The 17,296-nt window shown below is 40.4% G+C and overlaps 1 protein-coding gene across 9 annotated transcripts in view; it reads right to left on the bottom strand.

The window, feature by feature from the left end:
* EXT2 (exostosin glycosyltransferase 2) overlaps nt 1–17,296 on the bottom strand; it is a 156,285-nt gene that overhangs the window by 12,593 nt on the left and 126,396 nt on the right. For all 9 annotated transcript variants that reach the window (XM_047426529.1, NM_001389630.1, NM_001178083.3 and 6 more), the window contains 3 exons: nt 6,874–7,017; nt 5,127–5,255; nt 2,995–3,077 (listed from right to left, as the gene is read on the bottom strand). In XM_047426529.1, the coding sequence (XP_047282485.1) occupies nt 2,995–3,077; nt 5,127–5,255; nt 6,874–7,017 (356 nt within the window). The remainder of the gene's footprint in view (nt 1–2,994; nt 3,078–5,126; nt 5,256–6,873; nt 7,018–17,296) is intronic.

Here is a 17,296-nt window from a genome sequence, read left to right as displayed (position 1 = left end):
AAATCACATATCTTATTATTCTCCAACTTCACCCCTGATTAACATCACCTCCTGTCCCCATTAACGACACTGCTGAGGTCCAGCAGTTCACTCTAATCTCTCCCCTAATCAGCATCTCCTCCTAAACCTATTACACTGCTGAAGGTACTACTACCACTCAAAATCTTAAAGGTATGTTTGTCAACTCCTTCTTCATAGCCTCCCCACATCTCTTCAGTTGGAAACCAAGTTCAGGTACATCTCCCTTTGGGAAAAAAAAATCTCTTGTAATTTAATTTGTTCCTTCCTTTCCACATGCAGCTTAGTTAAAGGTTCTAACTAGTCTTTTCTCCAACCTCTTCACTCTTCATTCCACCCTGTGCATTACTTCCAAATTAATCTCAAAGCAATACTTTGATCCAGCTAGTCTCGTGTTCGAAAATTCTATAGCTTACCAGAGCCTGAAGGAAAAAAAAATCTAGCTCCTTATTTGGGGATTCAAAGCCTTTTGGAGTCCAGCACTAATAGGCCAGCATTCTAAGCTCTCCAAATTGGGCTTCTTCTTGTTGAACTTGCTGATCAGGCACCCTTGACAAACCATTCAGTTTCCACTGCTGAGAGTCTCTGATTCTGGCCCAGGGTTTTACTAGTTGGGATCCTAGTGATTTTTGAAGGATCACTTCAAGTGTCACCTCTTTTAGAAAGTTATTCTTAACAATGAACCTAGCAAAAAGTTACTTCTCTTTCACCTGATCAGTTACAGCCCTTTGAGCCTCTCTCAGGGCGCTCATCACAAATTGCATTGTTACATATACATGTAACACTGTTAAGGTCCTTGACACTGTTAAAAGTCCAACAGTTCGCTCCAATCCCTCCATCAGCATCTCCTCCTAACTATACATCCTACATATCATAACATATCCTATCATGCCTATAATCCCAGCACTTTGGGAGCCCCAGGCGAGAGGATACCTTGAGGCCAGGAGTTCAAGACCAGGCTGAGTAACATGTTGAGACTCTGTCTCTACAAAAAATTTAAGAACTAGTTAGCGTGGTGGCACGCACCTGTAGTCCCAGCTACTCAGGTGGCTGAGATGAGAGGACCACTTGAGCCTAGGAGTTCAAGGTTGTAGTGAGCCATGATTGTATCACCACACAACAGAGCAAGATCCTTTCTCTTAATAATAATAATAAAAAAGATCTTCCAAAGAGGAAGCCTCCATATCTCCCTTAGTTACTCACTCCAGTGTTTAATAATAATTATATCTAAATTAAATCTCCCTACTGCATTTTTTTCTTTTGAGATGGAGTTTCACTCTTGTTGCCCAGGCTGGAGTGCAATGGCACGATCTCAGCTCACTGCAAACTCCACCTCCCAGATTCAAGTGATTCTCCTGCCTCAGCCTCCCAAGTAGCTGAGATTACAGGCATGCGCCACCACACCCAGCTAACTTTGTATGTTTTTTTTTTTTTTTTTTTTTTTTTTTTAAGTAGAGACGGGGTTTCACCATGTTGGTCAGCCTGGTCTTGAACTCCTGACCTCAGGTGATCCACCAGCCTTGGTAACCCAAAGTGCTGGGATTACAGGAGTGAGCCACCACACCTGGCTCTCACTGCATTTTAAACCTCTTTACATTTGTTAAGATCTCAGTAGTGCTAGAGGAGTTGTTTAGCCTCAGCATGAACTTCAAGGCCACCATCAGGTCAACTTTTCTTCCTATACTTCCTTTCCTGGACCATATATCCGATACACCATTTTAACTCAGCCCTATTAATGACCACTTAGCTTACTGTTATGAATTTTCCCCAACCACAGACAATGGGGTAGGTTTAAATAACAATTTCTTGTACTCCAATAGAAGTTCAATTGGGGTCTCTTCCAAAGGAGCTACGACAGTGTATGTCACTACCCTTAACTGTGAAATACTTATGATACCAGTGATAATATATTATTTCACATCAACCAGTGATAATATATTATTTCACATCAACAGCTGGTAAAGGTCATGTCATCTGGGTAATGTTTATACATGAAAAAGATAAAGAAGTTATTTAGAGAGTAAAACATTATAGAAGCCAGGCCAACTGAAACAACTTTCTGCACACACACACAAAAATTCTCTAGGCTTGAAGAATTCTAATATAGCTGACAGATTTCAGAAATGAATTCTGCAAGCAGAGGCATATGAGATCTGTGAAATCTGAACTAGATATTTCATTCTAAAAGGCTACTATATCCTTATCTGAGTGCATTTTGGTCCCCTGACAAGCACTACTGGGATGTCAGAGTTTGCTGTCTTGTATAAATAATTGTCTTCTGAAAGTACTAGGCTTGATTCAGGCACTTCAAAGCTTGGGGACTTTTGGGGCACAAGTGAGAACTCTTAGGTCTAGTATAGTCTTAACGGAAGACATACATCTCCCACTCTTTTAATTCTTACCTACAAGGCCTAGGATTACATTCCACACAAAGGTGTGCTTGTTGAGAAACTGACTTGAATCGAAATAAAGAGAGTATTTCAGAGCTGTCTTGCCCCTCTGTCTGTAATATGAGGGCTTTGCTTTCGATCCTGTTCTTGGCAGGCATTTCCATAGTGTCAGCAAAGGTAATTTGTCTCTGGTGGGTTTGGTTTAATTCTTTCTAATCAAGCTTTTACTATAACGTGGAGCTATTACCCTGAAAAATAATCCAGTATTTCCTTGGAATTAACTAGCTTCCACTCAATGACTGTAGATGGTTAACTGCTTAGTCCACATGGAGAATTTGGCTTCTGGAGCTTAAGGCCCACTATATTTTTAAGACCCTTCCAGCCATTACAAATTGAGTGAGTAGCATTCCAAATTAATTCTTTGGGTGACCTGGGCTTGAACTAACCCAATTCCCACAGTGCACATGGAGGTGACTATGGCTACCAGCTGCTGTCCTTATATCTCCAACAAAGCCCCATAAACAGGCCTAAGGCAGGAAATAGAGATCAGAGGCTAAGGCGCACTTTTGGTTGGAGGCTCACTTACCTCTCCACCATGTGTGTTTGGTCTAGTGAAAGCCCATCTATGGCTGTGCACTCAGGACACTTGAATTTCTTTCGTGGGGTTACCTGCCAGAGGAGGACAAAAACATACCTGGCTGTCAGTGTCAAGGACAATAAAATCATGCTTGTGACACCACACTGCATTCTTTTGTGTTGTAAGCTGAGATGTTGCATGCGCGTGCACACACACACACACACACCTCGCCATTCCTCCATTCAACTCTGTCTGGCTCAGCCAACGGCAGAACTCACAAGGGCCCAATAAAAAAGGCTTGGAGGGCTTTTGCCTTCTGTAACTGGAAAGAAGTGGTGATGACAAGCTCCTTAATTCCTGTTTAATGACTGTTTTCTCACTGCCAAGGTCCTTGTATAAACACCATTTGTTCTTGTAGCCATAAGGGCGATGAAATACAGCTTCCCATAACTTTCACCGTAACCTTAGTTCCAACAGGCGCTCTTTCTCCTCTTTCCAGCTAATGGCAAATGCTATGAGCAGCACCATGCTCTTGAGGATGCCAAGCTATTTTGCAATTCCCTTGAGTCAAGAAAAAAATTGAATCGTCCCTCATACTCTGAATCTTTTTCCCTGACTCCCCACTACACTCTCAAACCTTAACTAGCGATCTCCCTAGCAAACTCAGGGGAAGCTGCTATCCCAACCTAGTGAAGATAAATAAACAGTGAAGAGATGGAAGGGAAAGAAAGCTAGATAACTAAGTCTAGGCTAAGAAGCATAGAGACACTGGGCATTACTGTCCAGAGTAAGCAGCCACAGCTAAAAACATGTTGAAGCATGTTAAAAAGCAAATTTGGGGCCAGGCACAGTGGCTCACACCTGTAATCTTAGCACTTTGGGAGGCCGAAGCGGGTGGACTGCCTGAGCTCAGGAGTTCAAGACCAGCCTGGGCAACATGGTGAAATGCCGTCTCTACTAAAATACAAAAAAAAAATTAGCCGGACATGGCGGCGTGCACCTGTAGTCCCAGCTACTCAGGAGGCTGAGGCAGGAGAATTGTGAATTGCTTGAACCCAGGAGGCAGAGGCTGCAGTGAGCCGAGACTGTGCCACTGCACTCCAGCCTGGTGACAGAGCAAGACTCAGTCTCACCAAAAAAAAAAAAAAAAAAAAAAAAAGCAAATTTGGGGATGGGAAGGGTCCCTTTAAAACAACTCTCACAATTTATGTTATTTAATTTTTTTTGTGGTCAGCTGTTCACTGAGTTATTTAGAGAGCTGGGGGACAGGGTGTGAACTGGGGCAAGTTTGGTGAGCACAGATAGTGATTTTTCCTATTCCCTATACACTTTGGTTTAATCTGGCTTCTCTTATCAATTAATAGCATAAGGAATCAATGGATAATGCTGTACCATGCTTCCAGCATAAGCTCACCTAGGAATTTGGCTTTCTAGGCAGATTGCTAGGGAACCTGGCATTGCCCATTTTAACACACAAAATTCTAATCTAGAAGCAAAAAAGACCAAGATGATTCTACTCATATAAAGAAGTGTACCTTCTCTACATATCTAGGGATCTTATTTGAGCAATGTCTAAATTTCAGGAATAAACAGGCATCTTTTACAGATACAAAAGCCTCCCATAGGATCTTTGTGTATTCTCAGCTTTTAATATGTTATGGGAAAGGTACTTTTAAAAACTGGTAATTGATATTTAAAAGCAATTAAATTCGTTGTGTTTAGGACAGCTACAGTTACATAACTGTATGAGGTGTACTATTTTCTCAACATCTATTAAAAAAAAAACCAGCTACCTTAAGAAAAATTTAAACTACATCCTTTAACTAAAAGAACTAGAACCCATATCAGCTTTGAGAATATAATTTTTTGATTTATAGACTGATCATCATAGCCTTTATTCTGATACTGAAGGTTAAAAACTGCAACTAAAGAAACTGTATAAAAAAAGAAAATATGTTTAAATTGTCAAAGCCTAGCTTCAATTTCCCAATGTGACCGCATCAATCATAGAACCTTAAACTAAAATAGAGCTTAAAGTTTATCTAGTCCTATATTTAATTTATAGTTACAAGAACTTCCTAGGCTCAGATAATAGATATTTGCCCAAGATCACAAAGCAAGTGAGTGGCAGAGCCTCCTACCTTGATAACTGCTTTTCCCGTGACGTTGGCCACCAGGAAGTTCATGGCAATATCTTCACAGTTCATATGAGCATCTACCCAGTTCTTGATATCCCCAGGCATTTTGTAGGTATACAGGTAATTAAAATACTGTCAAGTGAGACAGAAAGAAGAAATATTCAAAAATAGCAGTTCCCTTTAGCTGATAAATAAGGGGCAGCATAGCCAAGGCATGGGGACAAGCTTTCTCTCATAAGATTAATCACAAGGCTGTATTAATAGGAAGGGTAAAAGGAGGCATTAGAATGCTTTTGGTCAAGTGACCAAGCATGTTCAATATGGTCATTTTCTACCAAAGTGTGTGCTTTTTAAAGTAGAAGAAAAATGAGGCAATTCTAAAACTACCATATATATGAAATAGTGTAGAAATTATTGGGTCAAAAAAAATAAAGCATACATAGTCTACTACTGTAAATCCCATGAATTGTAAACCTTAGTTTTTGGGTTTTTTTGTTTGCTTATTACAAAATAAAAAAACCCATTTCTGGATCTAGAGACCTGAAAAATATGAGGGCAGTAGTGCTGAGCTAACAACAAACAATCGATATGAATACAGCTAAATTAAATTAACTGTGTTGAGCTGAACAGACCTTTCTCCCGACATCAGTTCTTTATGCTACTGCTGACAACAGACAAGTTATGATTGTTTAATTAAACCATATACTCCCAGGGAGCATTCTACTATTGAACTGAATATTCTAAAATCAAATGCATATTCCCCAATCTCTCCCTAATAAAAAAAGAGTCAAAAACACGAAGTGATGATTCCCAGAAGAGAGGAAGTACAAAAAGCTAATAAATACACAAAAGGAATTTCAGTCTTACTAGTAATCAAATCAAAGTTAAAACAATAAAATTCACTTTTACTTATCAAAATTGCTCATTTCTTTTCTATTAATCATATTTCATGCAAGAAAAGGCATGGTAAAACAGTTTTATATTTTGCTGGTGGGAGTGTAAATTTGCACAAACAATCCTGAAACCAACAGACACACACACACGTATACATACACAACATATATATGCTTAGAATATTCACAACATATATATGTATATGTGTATATATACATGTATGTACATACATCTTAAAAAACCCAAAATATTCATGCCCTTTGATATAATAATTCTATTTCTAGGAATCTATCACAATGGTCATGAGTACAAACAGTTATGAAAATGGACATCTATCACTAACATTAGATATTAAGCGTTATTTAAAATAGCAAAAATTTAGAAAGTAATATCCACGATAGCAAAATAGTTATACATGACTTCTAAAACATTAAGATAATGGTATCTTAATTATGCTAACAAGTAACTGTTTATGAAGAAATGTCAATGACATGAGAAAAGGCTCACAATACAATCCATGAAAAAGCAGGCTAATGAGAATATTTACAACTGTCTGTGTATACATACAAGTAAGTAAATAAATAAACGGCAAGCTGGAAATAGCACCTGAATGATAAAATGGTTATCTCGAAGTGACAGGATTACAAGTAACTTTTCTTCATTCTATTTTCATATTTTCTACTATGAGCGTGCATTACTTTTATAATTAGAAAAAGGATAGCTTTATTTGTAAAATACTGTCACACAATATGGCTTTTCTAAGCCCTCTTGGCAGGTATGAAAAATTAAATTGGGTCAAATAAAATGTGTATCATTCTCTCAGTTTTGTCACCTTGCCAGGACTGCGCCCCCTTACCTTGTGATAAAAAGCTGCCCCAGTGAGCACCATGGACACTTCATTCGTCCACTCAGACTCATACTTCCACTTATTCATCTCATGGTCCCAGAGATGCAGACGACCCGGGTAACCCACCAACCGGTCAGGAAATTCCCGCCAGACCTAAGGACAGACACATAATAACAATCAAGTCCCAATTCAGACAGCAACCATTCAGTGCTGAGTTATCCAAACAGGTATCAACAGACTTCCTAGGTTCAAACCATCATAACCTAAGAAGGTCATAATGGGATTCTGGAGATGTTCCATCAAACAGGTGTTAGTTATTCTGCCAAAACTCAAAGACAGATGCTGATTCTGACTTCCTCCCAATCTTCTTGTATATGCTTGGGAATTTCAATTAATGTGGGGGTAATAGCTTACTGAGTTGGGCCAAGGTAGGCAATCTCTTAACATATGATTAATGAAATAGGTTCCATTCTTAATGAATTCACAAAATGAAGGATAAATGGAACCCTGCAACTCAACTGCCCTGATTTGTATTAAATTGGTGATTATGAAAACTTATGATAAAGTCCCATTTCTTATTAAAAAAAAGCATCTATTTCTCTTGAGCATACACCATTCTTATGACCTACTGGAAGCCTAAAGGATAGAAGGGCTGTCTGATTCTGTAATCTGTAAAACAATGAAAACAAATACTTGCTTTCCAAATCTGGAAAGGTCCTTACATAAGAGCTTTGTTGGATTAAGCAGAATTGGGTATACTGGGGATGAGGAACTTCCAGTACCTTCTCCCATGTGTTTCTGTATAATTTAGTCTAACCTTGAAAAGATCCATACCATGAATGAGTATAACAATTTGTTGGCTAGTCTTGGTGCTTCTTCTCAGTCTCTGTTGCTAGTTCCTCAACCATCACCAGACTTCTGAGAATTCGGTCCTAGGCTCTATTCTCTTCTTCAAACTCTTTCTTTAAGTAGTCTCATCTAGTTTCAATCACTTTAAATATCATCAATAATCTGGTGACCTCTAAATTTATGTTTAGCCCCGAATGTTCCTAAGATAGCCAACCACTTAGTTAATATCTCCACCTGGATAAACAAACCTAACACGTCCAAAACATAAGTCTTGATTCCTTATCCCTAGACAAGTCATTCTCTCAATCTTCTCCATCTCAATAAATCATCCGGCCAGTTGCTCAAACCCAAAAGCTAAGACTCAGTCTTTATTCCTTCCTTTCCTCATGTTCAATCCATTAGCGAGTACTGCTGGCTCTTCTTCTATCTCTTACCACCTCTAGTGCCATTCCCTCTAGCCCAAACCACCACGATCTATCACCAAGATTACTGTGCTAGCCTTCTAACTTGTCTCCTTCGTGCCATTCTTGCCCTTCCAAAGCATCATTTGCACAGCATCCCTAAAAGGACCATTCCTAAAAGAATATTAGGGTATTCTGCACAGGGTAATTCAACTAGTGCATTCTATCCTATTTTATATCTATTTTAATATAGTTATTTTCATCATCGATTTCCCTAAATATATATAAAAGTCATATGATCATATGCCAGAGCAACTAGAGGCTTCCCCAACACACAAGTGTTGCTGAGTCCAGAAAGGACACTTCATGCCATTCCCTAGGGCAGAGCCAGTGTGTTTGGACCCTATGCCCTTTTCAGTTTCCTAGGGTTGCTGTTAACAAAGAACCACAAATTGGGGGGCTTAGATCAGAAACTAGTCTCAAGTTCTAGAGGTTAGAAATCTGAAAGCAAGGCGTTATTAAGGCCATGCTCCCACTGAAACATATCGGGAAATGTTTCCTTGCCTCTTCCTAGCTTCTGGTAGCTGGCTGTCAATCTCTGGCATTGCCTGGCTTGTAGATGCCTCACTCCAACCCTCCATCTTCACAAGGCCATCTTCCCCCCTGTGCAAGTCTATCTCTGTGTCTAAATTTCCCCTTTCGATAAGGACATCAGTCTGTGAATTAGGGGTCACCCTGACAACATTTTAACTTGATTAACCTCTGAAAATACCCCATTTCCAAATAAAGTCACATTTTGAGGTACTGAAGATCAGGACTTCAACAATTCAACCCATAATATCGCTCCCAAAATATTTAAAGAAAGGTCCCGCCCTCAAAACAAAACAAAATGGCTTCCTACTGCACTGAGAATAATATCCGAACTCCTTCACATGTCACAGAGGGCCCATCCACTCTTCACCTCTTCTCTCACCATGTCCCCTCACTCTCCAGTGGCCCTTCTGTTCTTCAGCCACCACTAGACCTCAAGCCCTCTGCACTTGCTGTTTCTTCTGGCTGGAGTGTTCTTCCAGCTCTTCCAAAGGCTTGGGTCCTTCTCATCTGTCAGGTCCCTGTTTAAATGTCAACTACTTTGAGAGGGCTTCTCGAACCTTCCTTGCTGAAGCAAACAGCACCCGCAACCAGCCACTCCTCGCTACACCCCTCCAACCTCATCCTTTTCTTTACCAAACTTTCACTTGCACCATTATATTGGTTATTTATTGTTTATTATGTATTTTCCTCTTGCAGAATTTAAACTCAAAGAGGACAGAGACTGTTTTATACACTGTGGTATTCCACGCACAAAGAACAGTGCCTGGTATGCAACAACATTCCACACACAGTTGTCTAACACACGAATGGGCAGAATCTCAGTGAGTAAAAAGCCAAGAATGAAGGGGACCAAAAATCCTTCTCTTTTCTTCAGAGAAAATATTTACCAGAGCCAGTATATTCCTTAATTCAGGAAGGAAGCCTGCAGCAGTACTGACCAGCAGTTACCATGAATAATAACGTGATATCCATTCTGTGTGAAGACCACAGTCCTAATTCCCCACTAAAGCACATGTTGTGACTTGTTTTTCCAGAAGCAGGTAAAGGGGCATTTTTGGTGAGACACTGCACTGTCTTGCCCAGTCCTCACTGTGACCATCTCCGTGTTTTTATGGAATGTCTGACCTAGGTCTTGGGCGTGGTCTGGGATCATGAAAAGAGCTTTCATTTGTGTGAAACCAGCTCACCTAACAGGGCTCTCAAACCCACAACCTTGGCTTCATTAACACTGTGTTGTAACCAACAGAGCTAATCGACCGCAGGCATCGTCATAATAGCTGCAGACAAATGAATCCATGTCAAACATTTTCTCAGACGTGTAATGCTGCTGCTGTGTTCTCTCTACTCTGGGATTTGTATTTCAGCAGATTAAAATAATATGATACTATTACAGTTTTATAGAGCCCAGAGCAGCAACACAGTATGTGAGCCATAACTTCTGTTTGTTTTGTGGGCCTGGGCAGATGCCATGAAATGTGCTGCCAGCTTCCTTTTCTCAGCACCAAGCACCTGCCTGTTCAAGTCACACCAATGCCATGATCACTGATTCATGGGGTTAAAGAGATTTCCGAAGGGCCCCAAGCACACATAACTAAACACCAGGGATGCCAAAGTGAAAGAAAAGGAGTAGGGCATGGGGAGGGGGCATCCAATTCAGTTGGCACTTCTGCTGAAGATGGAAGTTGCTTTTCTCCCCCTGTTTACTTTGAGTCAACACAGCTCTCTCCTCCATGCTAAGAAAAGTTCAAATCGCTTTCCCTAGGGATTCTTCTTTACAAGCCCCACTTTTGCAGCCATAATAATTACATTATTACTATTATTGGCTCAGTTGTCAAGTCCAATGCTGTTAAGATTTCGGTCCTCTTACTGTTGGCTGAAATCACTTATCAGACTCCTCTCAGGGACTTAATTTGGTGACAATGGGTCAGATACTAAACTATGCTGCTCTAAAAGGCATCAGAGGTGTCCTGAATTTCAGGTTGCTTTGGAGCCTTTATAGTGAGCGCTGTTCCTCATGCGGGGCCTCTCAGCCCTTGACTGATTCCAAGCAGCTGGATACAATCAAGATACCATCCTTGTCACTTAATCTATAACTCTGCAGCTGACTACAGGATCAAAACGGAGTGAAACAGAATGGGATGGGCCCTCTCTAATTGAGCCCTAGTGTAGTACGAAGTCGATTATGTATACAGTAAAGCATTTTCCCAGCCAGACGAGCAAGAGCTCAAACTCTACCCTGTCTCTTCATGGCTACCCACCCCTACTCTAATTCAACTTTTTTCCTTTTACCTTGGGGAAATGCTCTGGGTAAGCCTTTTGTCATTACTACCAAATGCCTTTATATATTGTGGTGTGGGCATTTGAAACTTCACAGAATATCCCTGGAGTTCCAGTAACAGTGCTTCCACAGTTATATTATTCACAAAGTCAATATTAAATTGTCTATACTGTTGAAATCCTCCATATATATAGTGCCCCCATCTATTTTAAATTGCACGCATCTTTGGGGACAGAAGCCTATCTCTGTTATAAAAAACTCTATGCCTAAGTTAGGGACTTAGCAATAATTTGGATAGTCCTTCCATTTGTGGCTATCCCACACCACTAGTCAAATGGGGATTGTAACAATGTAAGAACGTCCTCCAACTGTTTCTTTCCATTCTAATTTTTATATTTACATCATAGGGCTGTTGTAAGGATTGTGTGAAGTTGCATAGTAAGCATTCATAGGCTTCCATCAGACTTGAGATGTTTATTAACCCAACCTTTATGCTGGACACTCTTCCAGGTACTGGGGTTAAAGTGATGGACAAGGTATTCAAGGAGACTTCTCCCAAGGAGCTTACATTCTAGTGAAGGATCCTCAACACCTCTTACCTGTTGGTCCTCAACACCTCTTACCTGATTATGGAAATGTTCTGCTCTCTAGATTCTCAGCTATGCTTACTTGGCCATTTTCCAAGTTCTTCTTTCTTGAGCCTCCTGAGGTCTTTTGTCGTGTCCCATTACTATAGATAGGATCAAACAAATATCTTCTACCTTTGTGTAAAAGCCCACAGGGGGCAGCCTAGATTGAGTCTCACATCCTATAGAAAGTGGACCAGAGGCACATGGTTAAAGTAGGTCCAGGAAGCTCTGCCACTAGTGCATTGTGCAACTGACCTATTCAAGGTGTCTTGCTTCCATTTTGCCATCTATAAAATAAGGGATTGGATTAAGTGAATTCTGATGTCCTTTAACAGCTGAGATTTTTTATCTTCCTCCTCACTGACCTGTTCCCAGGGAACTAACCCACCAATTGTGATCTGTTTCAAGTTGTAAGTTTCTAAACAGCATGGGCTGCATTATCTAACTTTGTTTAAAATGCCATACACATAGAAGTACCCAATAAATGGTCCTAAAAAGAAGTTAATGCACTACCTTCTAAGCCAGCTTAGAGAGTGCATTTTAAACTCAGGGTGTGTGCTAACCGCAGTCAGATTCCGGAAACAGACTAGGGGGAGAAGGGGGAAGGTGTAACAACAGGTGGTGCCCATCTGGGACGTTCAGTTATGAAATCACGGGCCAGCACTAGGAGAAAAGCCACTCTGAAGTGGCTTCTACAGTCATCACACTGTCAAAGGCACAGTTCCACAGGGATATTGCTACTGGGTGAGCAATGTATCAGGACTCATGAACCAAGAGACAGACTAAGAAGTAGTGAGAGAAATGGAATTGGGGGTGCAGTCTATAGATCCAAGGCACATCAAATTTGGCAATGGCTTCATTTCCTTCCTTGCACACACTGCCTGAGTTTGGTCAATCCTTAACCATTAAAGTGCAACAGAGCTCTATGAACCAGCTCAAACCTTGCTGTCACATGGCTGGGTCAGCCAAGACAGAGCACAAGGAATCCAATATGCAAAAGCATCTTTGAATTAGTGGCCCTTCTTCCCTTCAGGCTTCGTCTTGCATGCTGCCCAGATGGGAAAGGGGCAGCTGGCTGGCTTCCAATTCCGAGCTGGTTTCCACAGAGGAGCCAGTTATAGGATTCACTCTCAGCCCTCTGGGAACAAAGCTCACCTTTTATTTTTGGAATTTCCTGAAATGAAGTGGAATGGAGGGACTGACTGCCTTCATTTTCAGCTTATGCTTTTAACTACAGTGGTAGTTGGCAGTTTTTGTCAAGGATGTGCTTTGAGAAAAGCCAAGGAGCCTTCATTCACTCCTGGGACACAATTCAATGCTGATACTAGCCATCTACAGCCAAGGAGCCCAGAAGTTGTCATGTAGAGTTCCCTAATGCTGACTAGTTTTGACAAACACATGGACAAACTGCATTATGGATTAAGATTTACCTGTGAGATCACTTTAGTCTGTCCGAGAGACCTTCCCAACCCCAGGCAGGAGCTTGCTTAAAATAAGCCACGCAGGAAAACCAATTACATGGGCAGGCTTCTGGGGTTTGGGCAGCATTCCCATTTGCTCCAGTCTGGCTAGAGGTTGGTACCTTGGTACTGGGGCACCTGATCTCCATTCTTTGCAAGTTATTTTTTAAGGCCAGGTGCCATGAAGATGGCAAAGAGACAGACTGGGGTTGGCCATAGTTGATAAAAAAATCTGTGCCATTAAATCTTTCAATAATTACCACTACTAGGAAGATACTGCCAAAGAAAGTGTCTTTAAACATGTGCCTCATCCTTGTATCTGTACCAGCTCACTGGACAGCATAACCATGAGCCTTCTGTGGATAATAAGAAGACTCACACTTTGGCAGTTGGAGCTGATGACCACTGTCCAAGCTATCTCAGAGATCTGCAACCTCAGAGATCATGTAGAAGGCAGAGGTGACTTGGTCCAGTTCCCTCATTGCACAGATGAGAAAACTGAGACCTGGAGAGACATGGTTCTCCCAAGGTTACAGTGCTGGGTCAAGTCTAAATTGGCCCGAACTCCCAGTCCAATCTTCTATTCATGAAGTCATCTGACTTCCTACTATGCTAATTCTAAAAAGCACCTTATTGTCCCCAAGCTCAGCCCCTCACCTGAAAACAAAGAAGTCAGATTATGATGTCAAAAACGACATTCAGGGTCAATGTTCTTCAGCTCTGTGGTGCCAGTGGCAGATATGAAGAGGGTCACAGGTGCCTGCTGAATGACCAGATTCAGAATAGAACCAGGTAGGGAGAGGAGGCAGGGAACACGAAAAAACCCTTTGCTCCCATCAGTCTTCATTTCTAAAAGCTACAGGCTCTTTGTGAATGTGGTTTCCATCTAGCAAAGAAAGCCATATGCTCACACCATTAAAAGAAAGAACTCCAGTCAGCTGTGCAGCAAACTAGTGAGACTCCACATCTGACATCTGAGGGCCTACTGGAACCTCGTAATCTGTGAGGCTCTGAGGCAGAGAAGGAAACACAAGCAAAAAGCAGCTAAATGAAAGATTAACCCCAAATACTATTTTTCATGAGGCAATGAATCTCTTGGGAGATAATAAGAAGGGAAGGAGAGATGAGAGTTTGAGGGGATGGGAGGAGGAGGAAGAGATGGGTCAGGATCAGGTCGTGGGTTTTCTAATTCTGTGCTCCCTAAGACCCAGTAAAGATGAAATCACTTTTATTTCCATAACCTCAGCTCCAGTGTGGGTCATACTATTTCTAAGTCTAATCTCAGGAGATTGCTTAATGAAGTTAAAAGGAGAATAGTCATCATAAGCCAAATGATGATTCTCTTTAAATCCTACACAACCAGTGGAAACAGAGACTTCAGTTTCTTATAAACAACTATTATTGGGCCTTCAAAATTTCAAGTTGATTTTGGTGAGGCTCAACTTAAATGACCAGGGATCAAAGATATTAGCTCTGTCCACCAAGGAGAAAATAAACTCTGCTTACTTCAAGTAGCTGCCCTGCTGACTTCCATCACTTGCAGTCAGGGACACTACAGCATATCCCCTTTGTTTTCTTATTACTGTGCAAAGGTACGAAATGACAGTGACCACAAACTCAGTAATTCTGGCTGGCTTCAAAGCATAAATCTGCTTCCCAAAACATTATTTAATGCGTTATTTCATCCTAGTGCCCTATATGTGTGCTTAAATCCCATAATCTCTTGGTGGAGAATCAAGCAGCAGAGGGACTTTTTCAGATTACTTATTTATTTATATCTCATCTATTTCCAAAAAATGATTTGGGGTCACTTATAATAAAAGGCAAAACTAAAGTCCAAAGTATCATAACAGATGATGTCCTCAATATTATTCAATATAAATATAAACACATATATCTAATATATGTACACATATATCTAATAAATATAGATATAGATATAGATAGATAGATCTCCAGATATACTCCATCTAGTTTTAAAATCTTAATTTTGATATTAAGATTCAGAAAAGGCAATCCAACATCAAGCTAAAGTCATACAAGTTTAGGGACGGAGAGATTTGAGTGTTCTTATTTTATTAATTCATTATGCATCTGACTCACAGATACTAAGCTCCCAATATTTTTTAAATTAAACATTTTAGTTTGAGATAATTATAGATTCACATGTAGTTGTAAGAAATAATGCAGAGAGCCTGTATACGCTTTACCCAGTTTCCCCCAACATCTTGCAAAACTATTGTATGACATCACAACATGAAATTGACATTGATAGAATCAAGGTACAGAGCATTTCCACAGCCACAAGGGTCCCTCCTGTTGAACTTTTAAGACACAATTGTCGGGCCAGGTGCAGTGGCTCACTCATGTAATCCTAGCACTTTGGAAGGCCGAGGCGGGTGGATCACAAGGTCAGGAGATCGAGACTATCCTGGGTAACACGGTGAAACCCCGTCTCTACTGAAAATTCAAAAAAATTAGCCGGGCCTAGTGGCGGGTGCCTATAGTCCCAGCTACTAGGGAGGCTGAGGCAGGGGAATGGCGTGAACCCAGGAGGCGGAGCTTGCAGTAAGCGGAGATCACGCCACTACACTCTGTCGCCAGGCGACAGAGCGAGACTCCGTCACAAAAAAAAAAAAAAAAGACACACAACTGTCTCCCTCCCTATCCCTGACTCCTGGCAAGCACCCATCTGTCCTCCATTTCTATAATTTTGTCATTTCAAGGAGGTTATATAAATGGAATCACACAGTATGTGACCTTTTTGGACTGGCTTTTTTCACTCAGCATAATTCCCTGGAGAATCATCCAAGCTGTTGTGTGTATCAGTAGTTTGCTCTTTTTATGGATGAATAATATACCATGGTATGCATGTGCCATAGTCTGCTTAACCATTTATCCACTGAAGGATGCCTGGGCTGATTTCAGGTTTTGGCAATTACAAATAAAGCTGCTACAAACATTCACATATAGGTTTTCATGTGAGCATAAATTATCATTCCTCTGGGATAAATGCCCAAATGTGTAATTGCTGAGTCCTATGGTAGTTGCATGTTTAATTTTATAAGAAACTACCAAAACTATTTTTCAGAGTGGCTATACCATTTTATATTTCCAAAAACAATATATGAGTGGTCCAGTTTTTCTGTATTCTCATTGGCATTTGCTGTTTGTATTTTTTTGGTTAACTTTAGCCATTCTTATAGGTGTGTAATGATATCTCATTGCAGTTTTATTTTGCATTTCCATAATAGTTAATGATACTGAACATCTTATTTGCCACCTGTATATCCTCTTCAGTGCAAGGTCTGTTCATGGCCTTTGCCCATTTTCTAACTGGATTATTTGTTTTTTCATTGTTGAGTTTTGAGAGTTTTAAAAAACATATTCTAGATGTTTAGCCCTTTGTTGGATATGTGGTTTGCAAATATTATCTCCAAGTATATAGCTTGTCTTTTTGTCCTCTTCACAAGGTCTTTGACAGAGCAAAAGTTTTACATTTTGATGAGGTCTCATTGGTCAATTTTTTTTTTTATGGATCATGCTTTTGGTGTCATATCTAAGAACTCTTTGCCTAGCCCTAGAGTCTGAAGACTTTCTCCTTTTTTCCTAAAAGTTTTATGGTTTCATGTTTTACATTTAAATCTGATTCACTTTCAGTTAATTTTTGCATGTAGTGTGAGGTCCAGGCCAAGGTTAAATTTTTGCCCATGGATGTCCAATCTTTCAGCACCATTTGTTGAAAAAGTCAGCAAGGAAAAGACCAGGACTTTTCCACTGAATATGGAATATGGAATCATACTTTGAACAACCCCTTACAATTCTACTGACAGGAAGTATATATAAATTCAATGTCCAAACACATTCAATTCAATAAATATTTATTGAGCAGCTACTATGTGTCAAGCATTTAGGCATACAGTGGTAAACAAGGCAGATACAATTCTTGCATGAATGGACCACACTGGAGAAGAGGCTTTCAATCAAGCCCAGATCTCTGCTGTGGATATATTTAGTGGCCGTGGTTGTGAGAAGTCAGTTTCTTCCTTCCCTCTCCAAGCACAGAGTGTCAACATGTGGTCATGACCTCCACCCAACCCCTGAAATCTTCAGCCTAAATGCTGGTTGGGAACCTAGAAATATTACTAGTAATGGTTGCCAACTCTTGATCTAAACCAGCCAACAGACAGTAGTAAATATATTTCATCATGATTAATGTGA

The sequence above is a fragment of the Homo sapiens genome, chromosome 11, assembly GCF_000001405.40.
Source record: "Homo sapiens chromosome 11, GRCh38.p14 Primary Assembly".
NCBI classification, from domain to species: domain Eukaryota; kingdom Metazoa; phylum Chordata; class Mammalia; order Primates; family Hominidae; genus Homo; species Homo sapiens.
The sequence above is the reverse complement of the archived record's forward strand: the minus strand, read 5'-3'. Positions and strand labels throughout refer to the sequence as shown.